The 23749-nt window shown below is 40.4% G+C and overlaps 2 protein-coding genes across 29 annotated transcripts in view, besides 1 other annotated feature; both read right to left on the bottom strand.

The window, feature by feature from the left end:
- VWA2 (von Willebrand factor A domain containing 2) overlaps positions 1–931 on the bottom strand; it is a 55247-nt gene extending 54316 nt beyond the window's left edge. For 2 of the 3 annotated variants that reach the window (XM_047425155.1, NM_001272046.2), the window contains exon 1: positions 616–931. The gene's annotated coding sequence lies outside the window, so the exon portion shown is untranslated. Of the gene's footprint in view, positions 1–313; positions 572–615 lie in introns of those variants that run through there. The other variant, NM_001320804.1, reaches the window with a different exon arrangement.
- Positions 312–1020: an enhancer, noted in NCBI's record as "H3K4me1 hESC enhancer chr10:115998924-115999632 (GRCh37/hg19 assembly coordinates)". NCBI's record gives its function as "activates a minimal SCP1, AML or CMV promoter by ChIP-STARR-seq in primed H9 embryonic stem cells {active_cell/tissue: H9 hESC(primed)}" and the evidence as "EXISTENCE:reporter gene assay evidence [ECO:0000049][PMID:30033119]".
- The window catches only part of TDRD1 (tudor domain containing 1), a 57793-nt gene continuing 41562 nt past the window's right edge, over positions 7519–23749 (bottom strand). For 10 of the 26 annotated variants that reach the window (XM_011539962.2, NM_198795.2, XM_011539964.3 and 7 more), the window contains 10 exons: positions 22530–22640; positions 21601–21771; positions 19342–19617; positions 18709–18828; positions 17482–17598; positions 13969–14136; positions 12886–13113; positions 12229–12275; positions 12060–12147; positions 7519–8699 (listed from right to left, as the gene is read on the bottom strand). In XM_011539962.2, coding sequence (XP_011538264.1) covers positions 8668–8699; positions 12060–12147; positions 12229–12275; positions 12886–13113; positions 13969–14136; positions 17482–17598; positions 18709–18828; positions 19342–19617; positions 21601–21771; positions 22530–22640 — 1358 coding nt within the window. In that variant the 3' untranslated portion in view covers positions 7519–8667. Of the gene's footprint in view, positions 12148–12228; positions 12276–12885; positions 13114–13968; positions 14137–17481; positions 17599–18708; positions 18829–19341; positions 19618–21600; positions 21772–22529; positions 22641–23749 lie in introns of all 26 variants that reach the window. The other 16 variants (NM_001385367.1, XM_047425489.1, XM_047425488.1 and 13 more) reach the window with 9 other exon arrangements.

Genomic DNA, 23749 nt, shown 5'->3' with positions numbered 1-23749 from the left:
AACCCCTGGACTTCCCACTGCCCAAGCGCGAGGACTCTCGGGGCAGCCGGCCCCTCTCAGGTTCTGCTTGCAGACACTTCGCTGGGGGCACTCGTTCTGCCTGGGAAAACTGCCCCAAGTCCCCTTAACACCTGTGTATGTCCTGTAGTGGGGTGTGGGGTGGAAGCGAGCATGTCACCAAAGCCTTTATTCAAAGGGCGAGTCCCTTTCCGCGGCCGCCAGGGAAGGGGGCCCCGCTACTGTGCCAGGAGGGCAGCTTGGGTTTAATACATGCCCTCCTCCACCCCTGTACCCGGAGCCCCTACCCACTTACCTGCTGACCGCACCCCTCCCAAAACCCCGCCAGCTCGCCCGGGACGGACCGCGAGTGGCCACGAGGGAGGCGCGCGCCAGGTGCGCTCTTCCCCCGACGCCGCCGTGCCAGGAAGGCCGCGCTCAGGTGCGCGCAGACAATGCGAACAAAGCCCGCACCCTCGGCGGGGCCGCGCAGCCCGGGTGCTCTGGGTAGGGGTGGCTGGGCAGAGGGGGCCCCAGTACCGGGAGCGTGAATCGGTCATCGGCAGCCGGCACTGGCGGGTACCCGGGCGCCAGAGCCAACTCGGGGCTGGGACTCACCGGAAGGAGAGCGGCGACCAGCGCTCGGTGCCCGGGCGGCTCTACTCACAGACCCGGGCGCGGCTCGGGCCAGGGGGCGCTACGGGATCACAGGAGGGGCGCCCGGGGCGCGGCTGCCACGTGGGACACCTGTTTGTCTCTCCTGGGAGAGGGCGGCACGACCCGACCCGGCTGAGGTCGGAGGAACTACCGCCAGGGAGGTGCATAGAGCCCCTCGCGTTTTTTAAAGCGGCATCGGCCCAGGTCTGCAAATAAAAAAGTACTTCACTTCTACGCGGGTCACCCAGCCTCCGAGCGGTGCAGCCGCGAACACTGTGCCGTCAGCTGACTCCTCCACGGGCTTTATAGCTCCTTGAAAAAATGTTGACTTTGGCATCTTTTCTATTTGTCATGGCAATTGCCTTTTAATTACCTGTCCCTCCTATTGTTGCAGTTGGGTAATAAGCCGACCTTTTGGCCATCATCCTTGCTTAAGATTGGAGGGCGTTTGATTTTTAAAAAATCAAATGCCACAAAGCACAATGCTGAGCATGATGCTTTATATAAAGTAAGCTCTCAATGAACGTTGACTATGACTGCACAATCCATAATTTCCATACTTCATTTAAAAACTGCCAGAGCATGCCTGTTCATTGCAAAAAAAAAAAAAAGAAAAGAAATAACAGTAAAAAAGTTGATAAATCAATCATTTTCCAACACCCAGAGATAATCAGTTAACATTGTGGTGTATGTTCTTCCAATGTCATTCTACCTATGCAAAAATTTATATATTTTTAGTTCATTCCATACAAGCTGTACATTACTCAGGTTTTCCATTTCCTTTTTTTGAATGTCCGTTTTAAGCCACTTCATAATGTCCTAATGTACTTAACCTATCTGCTATTGTTGAATATTAAACTTTCCATTTTAATAATACAATTAGATGTCTTTGTGCTTTTGTCCAATTAATTCCTTAGAATAAACTACGAAAAGGTAAATTTCTAGGATACAGGTTTTATACAACTTAAGACTTTTGATGCCTATTATCTAATTGTCCTCAAGGAAGGTTGACCTGCTTCCTCTTTTCCATGCTCCTTCCCATTATTCTTGTAAATGTCAATCTGATAGGAAAATAATTTGCTTTACACCTTTCCTGTCTGTAGTTCTCAGTTAATTTCCAAACCTCCGACACTGACAGCTTCCAGTGAAAGTGGCCCGTGGTGACTTTAATGTTGCAAACCTCATTGAAGGAGGCTAGGAAAGGACTCATTTTTCCTGTAATTCATTTCTCCCAGTAACATTTACTGAGCACCCAAAAATAAAAACAGGGCCACACCAGAGCAGCAGACATAATGTACCACCACATCATCCCCACAGGGGACAGCAGTTAGTCTTGAGGTCTAACTGCTGGGGAGGGATGGTCTCTGCCTCTAGATCAGCATTGCCCCAGAGAAATACTGACCAAGCCACGTGTGTAATTTTAAATGTTCTAGTGGTCACATTTAATAAAAAGTGAAAAGAAACAGCAAGCTGGATTTCAGTATTAACCTAAACATCCGGAACATTATCTCAACATGTAATCAATAAAGATGTTTTATGCTGTCTTCAAAGTCCTGTTTTTTTGTTTTTTTTTTTTTTTTTTTTGTTTGAGACAGAGTCTCACTCTGTTGCCCAGGCTGGAGTGCAATGGCATGATCTTGGCTCACTGCAACCTCTGCCTCCCAGGTTCAAATGGTTCTCCTGCCTCAGCCTCCCGAGTAGCTGGGATCACAGGTGCACACCACCATGCCCGGCTAATTTTTGTATTTTTAGTAAAGACAGGGTTTTGCCATGTTGGCCAGGCTGGTCTCAAACTCCTGACCTCAGGTAATCCACCCGCCTCAGCCTCCCAAAATGCTGGGATCATAGGCGTGAGCCACCACGCCTGGCCAATCCTGTTGTATTCTATACTCACAAGCACATCTCAATTTGGACTCGCCACATTTTTAAGTGCTGTATAGTCAAATGGGGTGAGTGGCCTGTGCTGCTCCAGAGATGTCCAACAAGGGCAGACCCCAGGTCCTCAAGAAAGTGGAAATTCTACCTTTGACAACCCTCTCCCTGTACCCCTTATGCTGTTTAACAGGTACCAGCATACTTTGACCTTATCAGGCTTACCTTGGAGAAGCCAAATTTCAATCCTGGTTGTTCCTGAAGTATTTGGCATGTCTTTAATTGGGGGCGGGGGGGGGGGAGGTATTTCACATTTTCATTCTGTGATTATGAAGAACTGAAAGCATAAATACAGTGAAGATACCTGTTGCTTCAGACTTCTTCACATCAATGTATAATCAGTCTGTCCGGGGTGTGCACTTGGGCAGGAGGGAAGGCAGGTGGTGCAGGCCCTGGTGAGTGCTGAGTGCTGAGTGGGTGACCAGCAGGGGTGGAGGCTTTTTATGCAGAAAGCTGGGTAGCTACTTTTGTCATCCATGACATCCCTTCCTTTGTGAAGATTTACAAGGATTTAAAAAATAAAGTTATTATGAATTACAATCATTCTAAGGGGCATGTAAGCTTCTTGCTTCCCAGGAGCTTGCCTTATTCATCTTTGCAGCCCAATGCCTGGTAACTTGCACACAGTAAATGCCCTCAGAAATAAAACCCCATGTCCTCCACTGACTGAAAGGACCCCCTCTTGTCCAAGGGGACCCCAGAGAAATATTTTTGAGACTGAGTCTCGCTTTACTGCCCAGGCTGGAGTGCAGTGGCTGGATCTCAGCTTACTGCAACCTCCGCCTCCCAGGTTCAAACGATTTTCATGCCTCAGCCTCCCAAGTGACTGGGATTACAGGCGCCCACCACCAGGCCCGGCTAATTTTCGTATTTTTAGTAAAGATGGGGTTTCACCATGTTGGCCAGGGTGGTCTCGAACTCCTGACCTTAAATTATCCAGAGAAATCTTAAAAGCGGAGTTCCCATATATGACTGGAAGGGAGACGGGAAACAGCTTGTTATACCTGCTCCTTCACTATCAGCCATTAGTTTTTTTTTTTTTTTTGGAGAAAGGGGCTTGCTCTGTTGCCCAGCCTGGAGTACAGTGGTGTGACCTTGGCTCAAGACCTGCCTCGACCTCCTGGGCTCCATTAATCCTCCCATCTCAGCCTCCCGAGTAGTTAGAACTACAGGTACGTGCCACCACACCAGGTTTTTTTTTTTTTTTTTTTTTTTTTTGGTAGAGATGAGGTTTCCTTGTGTTGCCCAGGCTGGTCTTGAGCTCCTGGGCTCAAGCAATCTGTCCATCTCACCCTCCCAAAGTGCTGGGGTCACAGGCATGAGCCACAGTACCCAGCCTTCTTTCTTAAGGGTTAAACAGAAACCAGCCCTTTGGGAAAGACTTGCTCCACCCCTGCTATCTTTGAGGGTCTCACTGTATCCCCCAGGCTGAAGTATAGTGGCACAATCATAGCTCACCACAGCCTTGACCTCCTGGGCTCAAGCAGTCCTCTTACCTCAGCCTCCAGAGTAGCTGGGATTACAGCCACGTACCATTGCACTGGTGGTTTTTTTGTTCTGGGTAGAGATGAGGTGTTGCTCTGTTGCCCAAGCTGGTCTTGAACTCCTCAAACTCAAGGAATCCTCACAGTGCTGGGACTGCAGGTGTGAGCCACTGCACCTGGCCTCTACTATTGATATGAACCAACCACTTGATGCTGCCCCTTCCTTTTAAGGTTTCAACAAACCAAGCAACCAGCATTCCTTCCTAAGAGACAATGGACCATGGAGTGGCTCTGGCTAGTCTATAGAAGATGTACCATGAGAGTTGTGTCCTCTGCTTCACCTTTTGACCCAAGAGGGCCAAAAACTCCACCCCAGAATCATGCTAATACCATTTTTTTGTACATGTAACCCATCAAGAGTCATGAAGCTTAATTGCACATGTACATCTTTCATAAATATTCATGACTCCTCCTATAGTTTACTGTGTATTTGGCCACTCCACTCAGCATAAATTCCTGTCTTATTTTTCCCAACCTGGAAGTGTGTTTCTGGTTTCTGGCTGGAGGCTACACTTTCCAGACTGTAGCAATGGCTACCCTGCCAGTGGCCACGCTTTATGAAAAATAAAGCTCTCCTTTCCAAATTCATGAACTTTCTCATTCTTCAGTTGACACCTTCTATGATGTTAATTCTCAAGTTGCGCTGTCCCGTGTGTCTCAGTTGTAAACACAAGAGGTATAAACACAGAGTCTTAGTGTAAACTGAGAGTGTAAACACAGAGGTGACTGAATTTCACTCAGGGATAAATGGAGACATCCGTACTCGGTGACATGCATCACCCAGAGGCACCCATTGTAGTAAAGTGACTGTGGCTTCAGATTAGGGGGCTCCTGCCTACTGGCTTTGTAACACAGAAAAGAAACTTAACTTTTGATTGCTCAGTTTCCTGACCTATAAAGGGTGATGGGTACAACAGTTCCTAACTCTAGAATCCCAACTAATATTTTGATCCAGTCCCTCAAATGATGAAAGGTAAAGCACACACGAAAGGAACAGACAAAAAGGAGGATGCTTAATAGAGCTCCAAGAGTTGTATATTTTCCAGAAGCCACATAGCAGCCACTAACCAGAGCCCTCTTATTGAGAAATAAAAGAACACGAAACAGTACCTACTAAACAGCAAAGAAACCATCCTAGAGGAAACAAAGAGCCTGACTCAGAAGCGCTCAACAAGCAGCAAATTAAGCCAGAGCCTAATTTGGTCTGTGGTCTCTTAACTGTGGAGCCAAGAACAAGGAGAACAAAGTTGGGGGCAGAGAGAGACACAGGACATGAGGAGCAGAAATATTGCCATCTCCAAGCCAAAGCCACTTAGGTATGGAATAGGCAGCAATTGTTTGAAGGGTTAATGCATCCATCCCAGCTCCTACTTAAGACAGTGAGAATTATGCGCAAAGTTGTATTGGATTTGCTTTTGGGAAATGTGCTTTCTGGCCGAATCAAGTAAACATGGAACAAAGGCACACGCTTGTGTAATAACCACTCAGCCAACATATGAAACTTTCTAAGTGCTCTACCTCAAACTGTCAATACTTCCATGTTATTTCCATCTCCTCTCCAAATTCCCAGTATCATGAATTTTAGTCATCACATGTCTGCCTTAACTAAGTATTCATGGAACACATTTAGAGAGGCATCTGGGTATACTCTGGAGGCAGAGTAGGCTCCTGCCTTATAATAAGCATCAGAGTCTGTCTCACTTCCTGGAAGGTTCTCATCACAGGAGATAGGGGCCTCTTCATCAAAAGGTTAACACCACAAGGTGTTAAAAATGGCATCCCCTCAGGGTGATAAGGGAAGCAAGCAAGCATGGAAAAAATGGCTAAGGCTTGGCAGCTAGCTAACACCTTAAATGAAGCCAGTTTTAGGTTACTTGAAACTATAGCCAAAATGCAAGAACTTTCCTAGGAAAATCAGACTGCAGCGCGTAGACCAGGGCAATACCAGAACGTTAATGGTTGGTTCTCTGGGTGAGCCATCTGCAGTTCTCACCCTGTGCGACTGGGCAGTAACCTTACTTCTAACAGAACTTCACCACCTTAATTCCGGCAAGTAAAACCATTCTACCATTCTTTCTTAACTGCATGTTTAGAACCACAGGTTACCCTCCAATTCCCTTTATCTGGAAAAAGCAAAAAACACTCCGACAATTTTGTGTGTATTAAGGGCTGTTTGGATGCAAGTAGGGCCACAAAACCACCTACATGGGGAGGAGCCCAGGTGTCCTCTTTGGCTGATCCCAGAAGAGCTCGACTTGCCAATTCCAGGCAGCTGTGTTGGTGAGGAGCCTATTAGTAACACTAGTGATCTATTGCTCGTGGCTGACACTCTCTCAGCAGTGAGCCTCACAATGACTTAATTTCTCTCTGGGAATTTGGCAGCTTAGGGTCCCGCTGGTGAGGATCTTCACGTGTTGGTTTCCGGAGCTGTTATTACATAGCAAGAGAGATCAATTTCAGAATAGTAGTTAATCCTCGTTCACAATTTTGAGACTTTTACATTTCTAGCTGCTGCAGCAAAAGAATTTTAGCAAAACAAGAAGTGTATCAAATATGCTCCTTATCCCCTTGTCAACCCCCAGGAGTTCACTGTTCTTATGATAGAAATCTCCTCCCTGGCAAACTGGGTAAGATTTATCTTAATATTTACAAGGCCTCCACCCAAGACTAAATCATTTGTTCAGATATACGGTCTCAGCTCTATGGTACTTATAACCAAACCAGATATTCTGAGGGGATCTGAAGACTGAAGCTCTACTGTATTTATGACCAAACCAGATATTTTGAGGGGATGTGAAGAACATATTAGCTGGTATGATAGAGCTGTGCTGGCCCAAATAAAAAATCTGGCACATACCTCAATGTCAGACTCATAGCTGGAGCTCAAATATTCATTGAACGAATGAAACATGCAGCTGGCACATTAATCAAAATCGGAAACATGTTAAATCTACTCAGAAGGAAGACCTGATGATCCAGTATGTCTCATTAATCCAAGAGACATTTAACCTATATCTCTATTTGTGAGGCTAGTGCTATAGATACTAGTCTCTTTTGGAGAACAAGGCAAATTAGCTGAATCAGCAAATAATATTAAATTCCATTTAATTAAAACAGTTCCTATTCAAATGTCTAGTACCATAGGATAAAATGTTACAATTTGAAGCCAAACAATGACTCCTGATTTTTCTGTGTTCCTTGATTTGTTTCCCTAATTTTCCTTAATAAAACGGCAATTGTGTGATTGCATATTCTTGTATTTCCTCTGTGGTTACAAACAATAAAGCAGACAGTATGAACACATTAAGCCTCTAATTCTCCCAGTATGTACAAGAAAAAAAAGGAAATTGGCAAAAATGCCTGCAGTAAGAAAACAAGAGAAAGCTGGTTGGGAAGTGAAATAATTTTATTGGGCAAAGCAGCGTGAGCTTTTATCTAACAGAAGCACATCAGTGTTTTAACAACTTTTTACATGAGGAAATATCCCATTTAACAGATTAGACAACGTACATTGCCAGTAAAAGCAAAAAAAAAAAAAAAAAAAAAAAAAGTCTTTCAAGTATCTGCTGAGTTGGTGAGAAACATCTTAGGTTTCATAGTCTGACAGTTAAATCATGAAAAAAATTCAAACTTTGGGGTTGGCAGGAAAGTCAGCCAGCCCATAATTCTGCATATGCGTGGTTTAGGAGAATTTGAGATTATTTTCATGCTTCAGGAAAAATATACACTCTTCGTTTTTTTTTTTTTTTTAACCTTAAACTGATAACTGTATTTGGGTTTCAGAAACAGTAAATTCTATCTATAACAACAAAAATCTAGCTACAGATTTCTAAGGTTGTGGACACAGCAGGAGAGGGAACATAAAGTTCCTTCTCCAGTTAGAGTGGTCCAGAGGTCAGACTCTGTGCCCAAAGGCCAAAAGAAAAATAATCCAATTAAGGACGGAGAGAAAGAAATTGATGACCTCTGAGTGAACAGAAAAAGAAGATAACAAACATGAAAGCAAAGGACATTATGTGGAAGAGGCAGACGACAGAGAATGCAGGGAATATTACAAAATATTTCAAACGGACAGAAAATAAAACTCATATCAACTTTTTTTTTTTTTTTTTTAAGACAAAATCTGTCACCCAGGCTGGAGTGCAGTGGCACTATCATAGCTCACTGTAACCTTGAACTCCTGGCCTCAAGGGATCCTCCCACCTCAGCCTCCCAAAGTGCTGGGCGTGAGCCACTGCACCTGGCCTTCCTTCGGTACCTTTAAGTAATAAAAAGTTACATATATAGCAGAAAGTCCCTATGTATTCCTTGCCAGTATTCTCATTGATTTGGTATGAATTTTTTACGTAATATTTATTTGGTGGAAGGAACTTAGAGGAAAATAAAAACCACCAACCTAATAGGAGAATGGCAGGCAGGCAAAAACGGAGGGATAGAAGGTCATTACAGAGAAAGTGGACAAAGAAAAGGTTCTCATAAATAAAAACACCAGGTGCTGTACTTTCTCTCCTAAAGCTAGCCTTTGCTGTTTCCTGTCTCATAAGGGTTTACCTCCAAGAGATGCTGTTTCTGAAAAAGAAAAAAAATCAACTATCATTATGCCTTACACAAAAACTCAATTGCTATGGCTTTTAATTTCAAATACAAGCAAACAAAATATTCACTTTTAACTGAAATTACGCATTTAAGCCAGACCTGTCAGTTAAGAAAATTAATGACCACCATAACATAGCATAATATATGCTAAGTACAGCTGTTTATACTCCCCTTCACAAATATAACATATAGTTGTTTGCACTCTCCTTATATATAAAAGATATCTGACATTAACTTGTGTGTTGAAACATCACCTGAGCAACAGATTACAGAGGGTTTTATGTTCATATCACCACAGCACTTCTGTTTTAGCAATTTTACAATTAAATTGCTAACAATTAAATTTCTCCAGATGATGAAATACATGTGTTTGTCTTTTATTTTATTTTTTTGAGACAGGGTCTCACTCTGTTGCCCAAGCTGGAGTGCAGTGGTGCCATCTCGGCTCACTGCAACCTTCGGCTCCTGGGTTCAAGCAATTCTCCTGCCTCAGCCTCCCCAGTAGCTGGGACTACAGGTGCACGCCACCTCACCTGGCTAATTCTATATTTTTTTTGGTAGAGACAAAGTTTCACCATGTTGGCCAGGATGGTCTCAAACTCCTGGGCCTCATGTGACCTGCCCTCCTCAGCCTCCCAAAAGTGCTGGGATTACAGGCCTGAGCCACCATGCCCAGCCAAAATACATTTTTACACCCATTCTATCTCAAAGAATAATTTAAAGGAGTAAATATTCAGCTCTATTTTCACCACAATGAAGTAATGCTTAAGCAATCATGTACATTATTTTTTCCTAATAATGTAACCCTCTAGTTTCATGCCCTATGTAACTGATCTGATCTAAAAGGATACTGTACACGTAGCAGCTCAGGGAAGTTGACACAACTGTTTTAAGTCGTAAGACCTAGTGTTTCAGCCTGTATGTGATTTTGGACAGTCATGTAACCCTCTCTGAGCCTCAGCTTCCTTAACTGTAAAATGGGTCCTACTTTCTTTTCAAGGGCATTGTGAAGATTAAGTATGTGAGTAGATGTAAAAATGCTTTGTAAATACGTACTACCCAAACACAAGGTATTGCACTGTATTCAAATGTAAATAAAATATCTATTTATTCCCACAGTCAGGAAAAATCCAGTTCAACTACTATGCTTTAAATCAAGTTTTCTTTTGAAAGCTACTAAGCCCTGTCTTAAATCTATCAAGAAACAATGAAATTTCACTTTAAGTTTTATGTGTAAGCACACTCAATATCCTTAGGAAAAATGCCTGTTACACAGATAAGAAGAACATACAGGCCAACCAACTTGGTTAAAAATGTAATGACTTGGTGGCCGGGCGCAGTGGCTCACGCCTGTAATCCCAGCACTTTGGGAGGCCGAGGAGGGCAGATCACGAGGTCAGGAGATCGAGACCATCCTGGCTAACACGGTGAAACCCTGTCTCTACTAAAAATACAAAAAGATTAGCTGGGTGTGGTGGCGGGCACCTATAGTCCCAGCTACTTGGGAAGCTGAGGCAGGAGAATGGCATGAACCCGGGAGGCGGAGGTTGTAGTGAGCTGAGATAGCGCCACTGCACTCCAGCCTGGACAACAGAGCGAGACTGTCTCAAAAAAAAATAAAAATAAAAAATAAAAAAAAAATATATATATATATAGTGACTTGATACTAGGACTAAATTCCAGAAATCCATGTCATTGCATGTTCCTTGATCTATGAAATTAAAATCACCATTAAGTTTAAGATTAGCCGGGTGTGGCAGTGTGCGCCTGTAGTCCCAGCTACTTGGGAGGCTGATGTGGGAGAATTGCGTGAACCTGGGAGGTGGAGCTTGCAGTGAGCCGAGATCACGCCATTGCACTCCAGCCTGGGTGACAGAGCAAGACTCCGTCTCCAAAAAAAAAAAAAAAAAAGATTAAAAGATTTTAAGCTTAAACATACAAAACAGTCAGTATTAAGACAATGTATTAGAAAGGACTGAAAGTTGTAATAACCCAAAATTTGTAAAAGGAAACATGAGAGTCAAGATAGTTGATCTTGCATTAATTACATTTAGCTTATAATTCAATTGACCTTTCTTAAAACGCAAAGAAACGGTCTATTACCACATGAAAGATATGTTTTAACACAGTTGGCAGTTGGTTCCTACTTGAGAGTTACTACACCCATAAAAGATTCATGAAGAGTATTATAGCCACCTCTTGAACTATTTCCAAACAGTTTAATATAAATTTGTTAACCAACAAAAGTGCACATATTAAGTAAATCAAAGTTCCTTTGCTTTTGGCTGGAACTGTAACAACTCAAAGTGGTGAGGAGAGACAACTTTATTCTGAGATTAGAGGTTGTTTTTTTTTTTGTTTTGTTTTGTTTTGTTTTTGAGACAAACTCTCACTCTGTCACCCAGGCTGGAGTATAATAGCAGTCTTGGCTCACTGCAACCGCCGCCTCCTGGATTCAAGCGATTCTCCTGTCTCAGCCTCCCAAGTAGCTGGGTTAACAGGTGTGCACCACCATGCCCAGCTAATTTTGTATTTTAAGTAGAGGCAGTGTTTCGCCATCTTGGCCAGGCTGACTTCGAACGCCTGGGCTCAGGTGATCTGCCCGCCTCAGCCTCCCAAAGTGCTGGGATTACAGGCGTGAGCCACCACCCCCAGCCCTGATCAGAAGTTCTAATTGGCTCTTAATCAAAAATTTATTTCTGAGAACCATCTTACAACAAAGGATCCCAGACATTTAAAATATGGGGGTGGGGTGGGGAGGAACACTGGTTTAAAACTCACCAGTATGTTCTTTAGACACTAGAATCACCACAGCCAAAAGCAGGGAGTATGTTTTGTTTTTAAATGAAAAATACCCTCAGTGCAGCCCACTTTCCGTTCTTGGCCCTTTAGATCCACTTTCCGTTCTTGGCCCTTTAGATACCCCTCGCAAAAAGTGCTAAACATATTTACAGCAATGTGCATAAGTGAGCTCTGAGTTAATTTCAGATCTAGACAAAAAATCTGAGGCTAAGCTTTATGTCACAACAAGTTTTACAAGTCCCTCCACATATCAATAACATAGGCATTCACAGAACCAAACAACAGTAAGGAAAGGCTATTACAACTGGAATACCCCTGGGGGTTCAGTTCCATTAGCAGTAGCAAAGGAAAACGATCAGATAAACCTACAAAAACAGCAGAAGCATTATGACCAAACCTCAGGTCATTAAATCACGAAAGTACAGCCTTACAATAGGTTTCACTCCATTAGCTCTATCCTGCCAATATGCCTGAAGATGTCCTATTGGTGATCACAGAAGAGGCGAAAACATACGATTTAACTTACTTAACTTTTTAACAGTTTTTTCATTTCAATAAATTTATTTTGATTGGTTGAATTGTTTAAGAGGAAGAGAAGAATATGTTCATGTTTTTCAACCTGTGGGTGAAAAAGAAACCATATGATTTAATTTCTAAAAACGTTAGGAGTATAATTTCACTTAAAGGAAATTTTACCTACTTGTTTCTGTAACTCTGTGCAGCAGCAATTCATCCTATACATCTTTTCTAAAAGCACAAGAAAAATAAGCCATTAGATAACACATAATGTAAAGAAGAAAAACTTGGGAGTGTAAACATATACAGATAGCTCTCCCCCTTGCGCATGGGTTCCGACTACAAAGACCTGGATGGATCCATTTGGGCTTTGAGATTATCTACTACCATGGTCTGGATTTGACCACATTAACAACCCATGTCTCCAAGGTTTTGGTTGTCAATCATCTCTCTTTTTGATTGAGGCCAGGTCTGTCAAATATACATCTTATGAAGTACCAGGAAGATGGAATCTCAAAAATATGACTTCTCAGTTTGATCAGGATAGAAAGTAAATTGGAAATAAGAAGCACGCAGAATGCCTGGCATTTTCAAAGCTCTTGGTGTCAATTCCCACAGCAGTGCTGACAAGTCTGATCTAAGGACTATCTGGACTCGGAGGACTGCCTCCATCAAGGCGGCCCTCCCAGGCAGCCACAGGAATCAGAACCCTGCCACTGGATTTGTGGAGGAGGAGGAGAGAGTATGGCATGGGAAGTGAGAAAAGGTCAAGTCAACTAAATTGATTATCTGTTATTCCTCACACTTAACATCTGTTATTAATAACACTTGAAAAGAATACCTGTATTTAAAGCACTCTGCCTTTGAGGTGTGATGTTTTTTGCCAGACCAAATGTCACTAGCTTATCAGCTACATCGACAGTCCCATTCTCAGAACATTTCTCAACTGACACTGTATGGACATTCTTTGTAATTCCTTTCACAGAAAGCATTACATTCTGATTCAACATGAAATTTTTTAATAGCATTATTATTAATTGAGAAGAGCTTCCATTCAATTCCATTAATCCTGGAAAAAATAGATATTATAGTCTTTTAGTCCCTTTTAAAAAGACAGAATTTAGATAAATTATCTAAGAATAATAAGCAAAAGGCTTACTGGACTTCAGCTGGATTTAGGTGTGTTCTGATGTACTACTGCTGTTGCATTACAAAAGACAAATTTATTCAATACATATTGATTGATCACCTAACAAGGCATCAAGCACTAATCTTGGACTAGAGGGCACGAAACAGACACATCTGTCCTTCATATATTCCAACAGGAGAAACAAAGATAATTTTCCAACTCTGAGTCAAAACCTAAGAGGACCATGAAGCAATCGGTATGGTATTATCTGCAAGTCCTCTGCATAAGGACATCAGGAGCGACAGTAAAAAGCTACTTTAAGTATTTTTGTTCACTTTGTTCAAATTCCAACTAAGGAGTTGAATATATGCAGATTTATCTTTCATAAGGTAGCCAAAAATGGTGTCATGTGAATGCCTTTAGTCCCTAAAGAGAGATGTGACGAAGCAGAAAGACCCCAAATGAGAGGTCAGACACCCTGGTTCACAGACACCAGACACCCTGTTTCACATCCTGGCCTTGCCACTTACTAGCTTAGCAACCAGGGGCAAAACCGAATCTCTGAACCCTGGCCCTCTGAAACTAATCTACAAAACAAAGACTGACTGAACACAGTTTTTGTGAGAATTCGATAAAGAATAAAGAATATGAAACTTATTTGAAAACTCTTAATATTTAAAAACATTAAGGCAGTTACTGGAAATACCCATTTGATTCCGACTTAGAGCTATGAAACATAAAGAGGAAAAAAAAAATACCCAGAAACCTAAATTGGAAAGTGACTTAGCTGTCTACCTTCAAGTGAACATCTAATAATTTGGAAAGGAAGCGCCAGGTGGCTAGAGGTGATTGGTTGCACTCTGCAAAGAGGCAGGGTTTCAATGTTTCCATAGTCTGCATAGAGCACTTCCACATCAGTGTCTGATGTCCCCAGAACAACTGCACGATACCAAAAATCATCACCTGAAAACAGAATGAAATCTCAGGTAAGAACTTACAGTCAGTGATTCCTCCTACTTTAAGATGGCTATTCATAGTTATATTTACATCACTTAAAAATCCATGCCAAAATTTCTGGTTACAGTTCAAATTAAATACAAGCATTTACCTCTACATTCCTATGAAAAATGTAATAGAATTTTTTTTTTTTTTTTTGAGACAGGGTCTGGCTCTGCAGCCCAGGCTGGAGTGCAGTGGCACAATCTTGGCTCGCTGCAACCTCCACCTCCCAGACTCAAGTGATCCTCTCACCTCAGCTTCTTGAGTAGCTGGGAATACAGGTATACACCACCATGCCCAGCTAACTTTTTATTCTTGGTAGAGATAGTCTTGCCATGCTGCCAAGGCTGGTCTTGAACTCCTGAATTCAAGCTATCCTACTGCCTCAGCCTCCGAAAGTGATGGGATTACAGGCGTGAGCCACTGTACCCGGCCAGATTTTTTTTTTTTTTTTAAATGCGTAGAATAGAGTAGAGAACAAGAGAAAAGACAACAGAATATTGGAAGCTGGAAAGCAGATGCCTGAATGAAAATGATTTAGTAGAGCCATGGTAGCTCAACCAAAGTTGGCAGTGGGGAAGCCAAGAAGCATCCCAGCTTGCATCACAAATCCCCAACCCCTGAAGTCTCAACGATTGGTGCTGCTCATTCAAAAGCAGGAGTTAAGATGGAGTTGGAAATGAAGATTGGCCAAGGAAGCAGAGTTACTTGCAAAGACATCTGAATAGGCTTTGGTTCATACACTCATTTGCATATAACACCTATTTTTAAAGTTGCTAAAGAGAATGGTGAGCTTTGTGTTCCCATGTTTTAATAATGCTGCTACTTGAGGGCAGAAGACTGGAGGTTTCCTCTCCTGAGAGAATGAACCACAGAGGGCATGGACTGGAGAACGTGAGGCAGAGTAGACAAGGGAGAGTTTAACACTGGCAGGCAAGCTGTGCACTCCAGGCAGGAGGCCACCAGTCCATGTGACAGCCCATCAAGATGGCGACACTGGGAGTCTGCAGTGAGATGGCAGAGCCAGATCACCCACAGTGAAGGCCATCAGTGGAAAAGCCCCTGCCCACTCTCAAAGCAACTTCCCAGTAACTTCTCAGTGCCCCATCTTAAATACAGGAACAGCATAGGATCACCAGAGATTTGCAGAAAGCCTCTAACATCACAGAGGAGACCAAAACAAAACAGGACCTTAGGGAAACCAAGGCAGAAAACCAAGGAGGAATATGACAATGAACATTAGAAGACTGACAGTAATATCCTTGGAGAAATGACATTCCACTCTTGAAAGAACAGGGTAGTATTAAAACACATAAACATGAAAAACAAAACAAAAAAAGCTATTGAAATTAAAAATGTGATAGAAATGAAAACCTAAATTTAAAAAGTTGGAAGGTGAAATTGAGGAAATCTCTTTAAGAACAAAAAAGATGAAAGAGAGAAGAGGACATTTAGCAGAGTTCAAATTCAGCATTAGAAGACTTGAAGCTCCTAACAGAACAGAAAACAAAAGCAACTAAAAGCATTAATTCAGGAAAGTTTCTCAAACTGAAGCTCATGAATTTCTAGATGTAAGGGGCCCACCCACTGAGTGCCCAGCAAAACGGTAGAAAAAGAAACACCATACTAAGGTCACATCATAAATTTCAAAACAGGTGAGAATACTAACAGTTCCAGAAAGGCGGAAAAAACATACAAAGTTTGTGGAATCCGGAATAACATTAATCTTTTGACCAGAAACACCAATAGCTAAAACACAATAAAAGCAGTGCCTCAAAATTTTAAGTGAAAAACCATTTCCAATCTAGAATTCTGCATCCAGGCAACCTATCAATTAACTATTAGGCTGAAGGCTTTTTCAAACATGGGAGATAACAGAAAATTTGTCTTACATGCACCTTTTCTCAGCTTCTGGAGGACAGGATCCACCCAAATACTGGAGTAAATCAAAAGGGAAGTTGGGGATCCAAAAAACAAGGTGGGACGAAGGAAGAAGAAATCTAGCTAACACAGTGTGGGGGGCAGAAGTGCCGTCCAGGAAACAACAGGGTCAGGGCTGAAACGATCTCAGCATGGTGAGGAAAAACCCAGGATAACAGCTCAGGTCTGGGGGACAAGCAGCCTGTACAGGAGCAGACTGAAGGCTGAAGATGCCTCCAATATGGTAATGTTGAGAAAGTACATGTTGTGTTCTTTGAGGGAATTTGCACTAATGCAGAGCACTGGAAATAATTAGTGACAGTCTATAGAACACTAACAACGACAAAAGTGGCAAAAGAGAAGGTAATTGTAATACACTACACAGCTCAGCTGTGAACAGTGCTTATGCAGTCCTAATGAAGTAAGGCAGAATACTTATAGAACCAAAAATTGTGATTTATCCTGGAAAGAAAGGGCAAGTATAGATCCAGTTCTCATACAAAAGAAAAACAAAACTAGTGTGCAATATCTGCAAGACCATGAAGTTTGAAGGTCCCCAACTTGTGCTCCCCAACAAAAACAATTTGGTGCCCATCTAATCACAAAAATGCCTTTGTGAGAGGTTTGGGATCCAGATGGGGGGTTTTGAAACGCCACTGGAGCCCAAGATTGAGGAAGGCTCTTTGAGAAGGCAGGCCTGTGCCCCAGTGGCAGACTTTCAAGACCTTGTTCCCAGCTATTGACTGAAAGCAGCCCTGTCCCCAGGTGAACTCAGCTCTAGCCCCACGTGGCTGCCATCCTGCCACTAGCCACCTCTGCCCAGGGACTGGCAGGAGCCATGCTTGCCTGCCAATTGGACCTGACTGTGGACCATGAAGCAGCACTGTAACCTGGCTCCACTCCCACTTAACCTTGATCCCAGAAGCAAATCCAAGTGTTATTTATATTAGCATACGAAATTTGTTAAAATGAGACATTAAAACGGAGAAGGATCAAAGTATACCCTCATCAATGAGCCTGACTCCCTGAGGCATTCCATCCTTCTTTTAGTACATTCACATATGGAACCCTATGAATTCTTTGCAACCCCTCCATAAAGAAATGTAATGTGACTGATCCACTAGAATAGTGTGGTTATCTCGAGCTGGTTATCTGTAAGTACTGACAGATTTGTAGAAATCTACCTATATCCTTGCCTAAAAATAATCTATATAGAATCGAAAAGCTGAATGACCAACATATGAATTAAATCCACAACACTGCCTTCCTTAATTTCTCTCCCTAAACCAAATGAAATATGCAGCTAAAATACCAAAATCTACATAGTATCATGTAGAACAAAACAGACTAAATACCTTCCCTCAAATATTTTCCCTAAAAGAACCTTACTTGTGTATTTGGCACAGCATGCGTCTCCAATTCTTGGTCTATAGGGTGGTCGACTTTTCGGAGCATTGCAGTATTCTAATAATTCAGCTGTCAACATGCACAGCTTTTCCTGATTTTCTAAAATATATAAAAGCAATCTTTTGTGAAGAAAATTTCCAGTGCTACTATTAACACTATACAAAAGAATGGCAAGTCTAATCAATCCAAAAACCCTTTGTGTATTAAAATATATTTAAAATATATACATGTATATAAAATATACATGATACTTGAAAATATACCCACTATTGGTTGCCATTTGCAAAAGGGATGCAATCAATACCGGGAGTGGGCAGGGAGGAAGCCTCCGGTGGATCAACTACTTGATCAAGGTGGTTATACTGGTTTGTTCACTCTGTGAAAACTTATTAAGCTGTATTTTTACAATTGTTTAGTGTACTTTTCAGTAAGTGTTATACTTAATAAAATTATCCTCAATAGCATTTCCAATTCATCATACAACATGTTGTCAGGATCAAATAACCCTAAGCTCCTGCTTTTTAGTACACAGAATAAAGATCCTTTTGTAGTATTAGAGATAAATTTAAGAGCAGTTATTGGCATTACCACAGTTCTAACTTTGAAAATTTGAAACAAAAGTTTCATTTTTTCAGCTTTAAAAGTGCCTGCAAATTATTCTAAAAAGACAGCACTCAGCTTGCACTAACTCATCTTCAGATACTACAAGGATAAAGTCATATACATTTAAGAGATTCCTTAATTGCAACTTCCATGAAACAACAAAAGGAAAATTAAAAATAAATTTTTATATGCTACTTTTCTTCAAGATTCGTTCTAGTGTGAAACATTTCTCTACGTCTCTAAGGTATAGTAAAGCTATGATTATGAATGGATTACAAAGTCTTTCGATATATCTAAAGCAGTAAATATGATTCAATATAGATAATGTGTTTTTTAAACAAGAAATTATACAGTAATTAAGGACACTTCTGTTATAAAAAGCTGTAGACCAGGCTACTGGGCAGGTAGGTGCTGACTGTAGTAGGGCTTCCCTTCATGTTCCCGCTAGTGTTTCGTAACTAAATTTGCCTTAAGTGTTATGATCAGTTCTTCCTTAAAACAGTGAGCCTCTTTCTCCCCTTCATTCCCAAAGGAATTCAAGACCAGCACTTTCGTTTTACAGTTTAAAAGATGAGCATAAATATGTCTCAAATTTTGGTTTCTTACCTGGCATCCCTTTTGGTAGAGCATAAAACAAGTTTGGGCTTATGATTTCTAATACATTTGCTTGTATAGTTTTATCCACTGGCAATTCTATCGTCTTCCATTGCTCAGCTGAAGAGGTAGCTGGAAACATACAAAACACAGGTCTCACACGGAATAAAAAAAATGTACTGTTGTTTTCCTCAGTAACATATTTAATTCAATCATTTGTTCATGAAATGATTATCAACATTTCCAAATCCCCAAAATAAAAATCTGTATTTTTTCACAAAACAATCTATTCTATTTGAGGGATTTTGTGGGCAGTACGAAAAAGTTCAGTCTACAATGAAATCCTTGAACTATTACACTCCTGTAGTTTATTTCTGTATATTTCCATCTCTGTCAAATATTTAATATAATTCTTACAACTTACTCAAGCTTCTAAGTGAGATATCTCTGTATATGTTTATCTGACAATTACATTGAAATGAATGTTTGTTCAATAATTTAATAATAATACAATATTAACCTACTAATCTATGTCCGTAAAGCATATCTCTACAGGAAAACTGTCATTTATGATGGAAAATTTTTCATAGTCTCTGAGAGCAAAGAATAACAAATTTAAACAAATAAATGGTTTTAAAATGTTACCTTGAAGTCCCTGTACATGAACTTGAAGCTCATGTTTATTAACAAGTCTGTCATTTGGTAAGTCTTTATGTGGTGAAGCAGATTTTAAAACCAGATGTTCATCAATCAGAACATCACTAATTATTCTGGGATAACAAGTGGAGAGATCGGTGAGTTCAACTCCTATCCCATTTTCAGTGACTTCAACCACTCTGGCTTGCAATTTTATCCCAGCAACACACATCTGGAATCTTGTTATGGCTTCTTCAGACCAATGTTTGTTTCTAGACTGTATATCTAGAAAATAAGGACAGCAGTAAAAAGAATCCTATGAACAAGTTTCATTTTTGCTTTAGTAGTACCCAGCACCAGGTCTTTGCCAAGTTTACTTTCAGGTCAGCAATTCTCAGTATCTTCAATATTCAATTATACACCTACATCCTGCATGCCTGACTTAAGAGATAATGCACTTGCTAATACACTCTAGGGTTTTAGGAGGCTCAGGATCTTTCCTTACGTTCTCTGCTAACATATCTTTACCGGGCATTTTCCAATAGAAAAAGGAGTACTGTTTTAGAATTCACCATCATGTTCTGTTATGTATGAGTTAACCATTATGCTGGTAGAAGATGTCAGCTGATATACTGCCACCTTTGTGGAGAGTTTTCTAATAACTTCAAAATGTTTTTCATTATGTAAGCAAAAATTATTTTTCTTGGATAATTTTGGCTTACACCCTTGTTTTCTTAGCAGCGATTTTCAAACTTGAACATGTATCTCAATCACCTAGAGGCCTTGTTAAAACACAGACTGTGGGGCCCTACCCAGAGTTTCTAATTTTGGTAGGTCTGGGTCTTGGGTGGGGGCTGAAAATCTGCAGTTATTAACAAGTTCCCATGTTGATGTTGCTGGTTTGGGGGCCATAATTTAAGCAGCACTGGAATAAAATATGGTAATTAAGAACAATAATCTGGGCCGGGCACAGTGGCTCATGCCTGTAATCCCAGCACTTTGGGAGGTGGAGGCAGGTGGATCACCTGAGGTCAGGATTTCAAGACCAGCCTGACCAACATGGAGAAACCCCGTCTCTACTAAAAATACAAAAAATTAGTTGGGCGTGGTGGCACATGCCTGTAATCCCAGCTACTCAGGAGGCTGATGAGGTAGGAGAATCGCTTGAATCTGGGAGGCAGAGGTTGCAGTGAGCCGAGATTGTGCCATTGCACTCCAGCCTGGGCAACAACAGTGAAACCCCATCTCAAAAAAAAAAAAAAAAATTAAAAAAAGAACAATAATCTGAAATATATTATAAAATAAACAGAAACAGATTAGCAGAAGAAATAAATCCATCTATGCTGCCTGACTTTACCACTGTTGAATTTTGGAATCCAACCAGCCACAACTTTTATGTGCAGATGTCCAAAATACACACATATACACACATTCTCTTATATATTCTATTATAAAGTTTTTATAATAACCGCTACTATAGGTATAATGCCAAGCACTGTTAAGTGCTTTATATTTTTCTCTTAACAACTCTTTGAGGAAGGTAGGAATAATTTCCAGATGAGGAAACAGAAGCACAGAAAGTTTAAATAATTTGCCTAAACGTCTCATAGACAGCAAGCAGCAGTTGGCTCTGACGTCTATTGTCTTTATCACAACACTCTTTTATAACCTGTTTTCTTCACTTAAATCATGAACAATTCTTCATATCAATAACACATATTTAACATCATCTTAATGACTGTGCAATAGACAGCTAAACATGTAGAACTTTGAGTGCCAGACCCTGTCCTAAACCTTCATTTAATCCTCCCAACAACCCTACAAAATAAGTACTATCATTATCCATTTTATGGATCATTTACCCAATCTGCTATTATTGACTATTTATGTTATTTTGCCATTATTATCAGTGGTGTAATAATTATTTTTGTAACCTATTCTGTGCAATTCCTGGATTTCTCTGGGATAAATTACTAGGAGCAAAATTACTAAGTCAGAAGGTATGAACGCTGGAGGTTCTTAAGGAATCCTGCCAATGCCTTCCAGAGGATCGTGCAGTTTTTATTCCTGTGGTCAGTAAAGGAGCCGCTTCCCTACTCTGACAACACTGGACGTTTTTGGTCAATATTGTAAGTAAAATTTCTAAGTTTTATAATATGAAGCAGGATCCTCTAACTCACACGAAATGTTAACATTGTAGATATTAACACTTGGATTATATGCCCCAAGTATTAGAAAGTTGAGAAAGTTTCTTATTGTATACCATACCTGCTAACTGGCACCGTATTCCCTGAAAGGGAAGGTTTAAAAATGTTGATGATATCATTCGGAGTTCATCTGCAGTAACTTCTTCGATGTTTCCATAATCCACAAAATGTACTTTAACATGTCCATTTGGTAAGATTTCCTTGACTAAAGCACGATACCAACTACCATCACCTAGGTTTAACACACAGTTTGTGACATGGAACATTTCCTTTCTATCGACACTTGAAATACTTATCTTGAAAAAAGCCACCCTTTGTCTAAAAGTAGGTAATAAATTTGCTTACTTTCCCAAATCACGCCTTTCATTTTTCAAAATTCAAAAATCTCTAGAATGAAAGAATTCTCAAAATCTATTTTTAGACTATCTCCAAAATGTATAGTGCCATACTTTTACATTTGATATGAATTAAAGATTTCATTCATAACCTATCCAATAAACAGAATGTGAAGGTGAAGATAAGACTTGAATATACTTGTCAGTTTTGGAGATGTATAATACTCTTGGTACTAATGGCTCAGATTATTTTACTTGTTATGTGGTAAAATAATTTAAGTAGTAAATAGTAAAAAAATTATTGTAATGAAGATGTCTCAATTACATTTTCAAAATACTGTAAATACTTATAGTAACCAGAAGAAACAATGAACCTGCTGTGAACAGCGCTTCCATGAGCTAAGTTATTTTAATATTAACAGAAATTCTGGAAAGAAAAGCATTAAAATAATGTTTAATAAAGTTAAGGCAAGAAAGTATCACTTGTAAGTTCCTTGTTACAAAGAGAAGGAAAAACACATGACATTGTAAGCATTCATTCATTCTTGGCCATGAAAAATGTTTGCTTAAGCATTAAGAAAATGTGCACTAAAAATAAGGTTAAGTTAAGAAATATAAGGTTCTAAAAGTCAAGATTGCATCAATTGCAACTTACCTGCAAAAAAAGCACAACAAGGTTGTCCTATCTCTGCCTTGAAACCATTAGGTAACTTCTGCTGGCAGTGTTCTGCTAATGACTTGTTCAAATCATTGAGTTTCTTTAAAGCTGAAAATACACATAGGATTAAAAAATTAAGAACATATTAAAAAATAAACAACACAGATTTTCCTTTAAAGTCAGAAAACGTGATTTTTATGATCAAGACAGGTACCTCCCTAAACTACTATTAAGTCTACCCAATGCTTTTCCTTATTAAAAAACTACTGGGCAAATAAGTTGTTATTTAGTTAATACTTTCAATAAACCCAACACCAACGATTTACTGGGCAAAAAGAAACAATTACAGCATGATTATCAGTACACTAAAGCATGAACTTTGCAGGGAGATAAGAAAACAGCATACAAGCCCATACAGAAGCTACATAAAAGCTGTCCTGAAAGTGACTATAATCACTAAATGGATGGCACAGGTAATGTATAAGAAGTCAGAGCTCATGAGCTCTGCGTGCTGGAGGTTTCATACAGAAATACAAAGTACATCACATTTGAAGGAGAGGGTATTTCCAGAAGGAAGACATGGCTCTCAGACAAAGGACAGAATTATGAAATTAGGCAACCAAAAGTGGGCAGCAGGCTAGCGAAGCGCAGAAGTGGAGAAGTGGCCACTGGAGAGAGACATTGGAGCTGTCCCTGCAAAATGCAGACCATGGAGAGCTTCTGAATGCAGAAGGGATCTAAACCACTTAGTAGTAGTAAAAGAAAAGCAAATGCCTTTTAAGAATGTGACAAAGGCTCATTTACTAAAATGGAAAATAAATTCTAATGTTTCAGATGTTTCACCTTTCAGATTAGGCTAAATAAAGTTTAAGGACACACAATAGACAATGATACACTCTGCTGCTGGGGGATTGTTTGGCTGGCCTCTGAAGAACACTAGCTCTCAAAAGCACAAATACACATATTCCTTTGACCTAATACTCTCATTACAATTTTAGCAACTTGTCCCAGAGATCTACTCCTAAAGTAAAAATCACAGTACAAGGATTTGTTTTAGTAATAAAAGCTTGGAAACCACTAATCCTGTATTTATCCACACTTAGTAGTGTGTATCCACACTTAGGTTAAATCTCACAACCATGGGGTCAGATAGGACCTTAGTTATCTAGTTTAATGTCCTTATTTAACAAAGAAAAACCAAGATTTGGAAAAGTTAA

Source organism: Homo sapiens, chromosome 10 (genome assembly GCF_000001405.40).
Source record: "Homo sapiens chromosome 10, GRCh38.p14 Primary Assembly".
Taxonomy (NCBI): Eukaryota; Metazoa; Chordata; class Mammalia; order Primates; family Hominidae; genus Homo; species Homo sapiens.
Note: the sequence above shows the minus strand (reverse complement) of the source record. Positions and strands in the feature narration are given on the sequence as shown.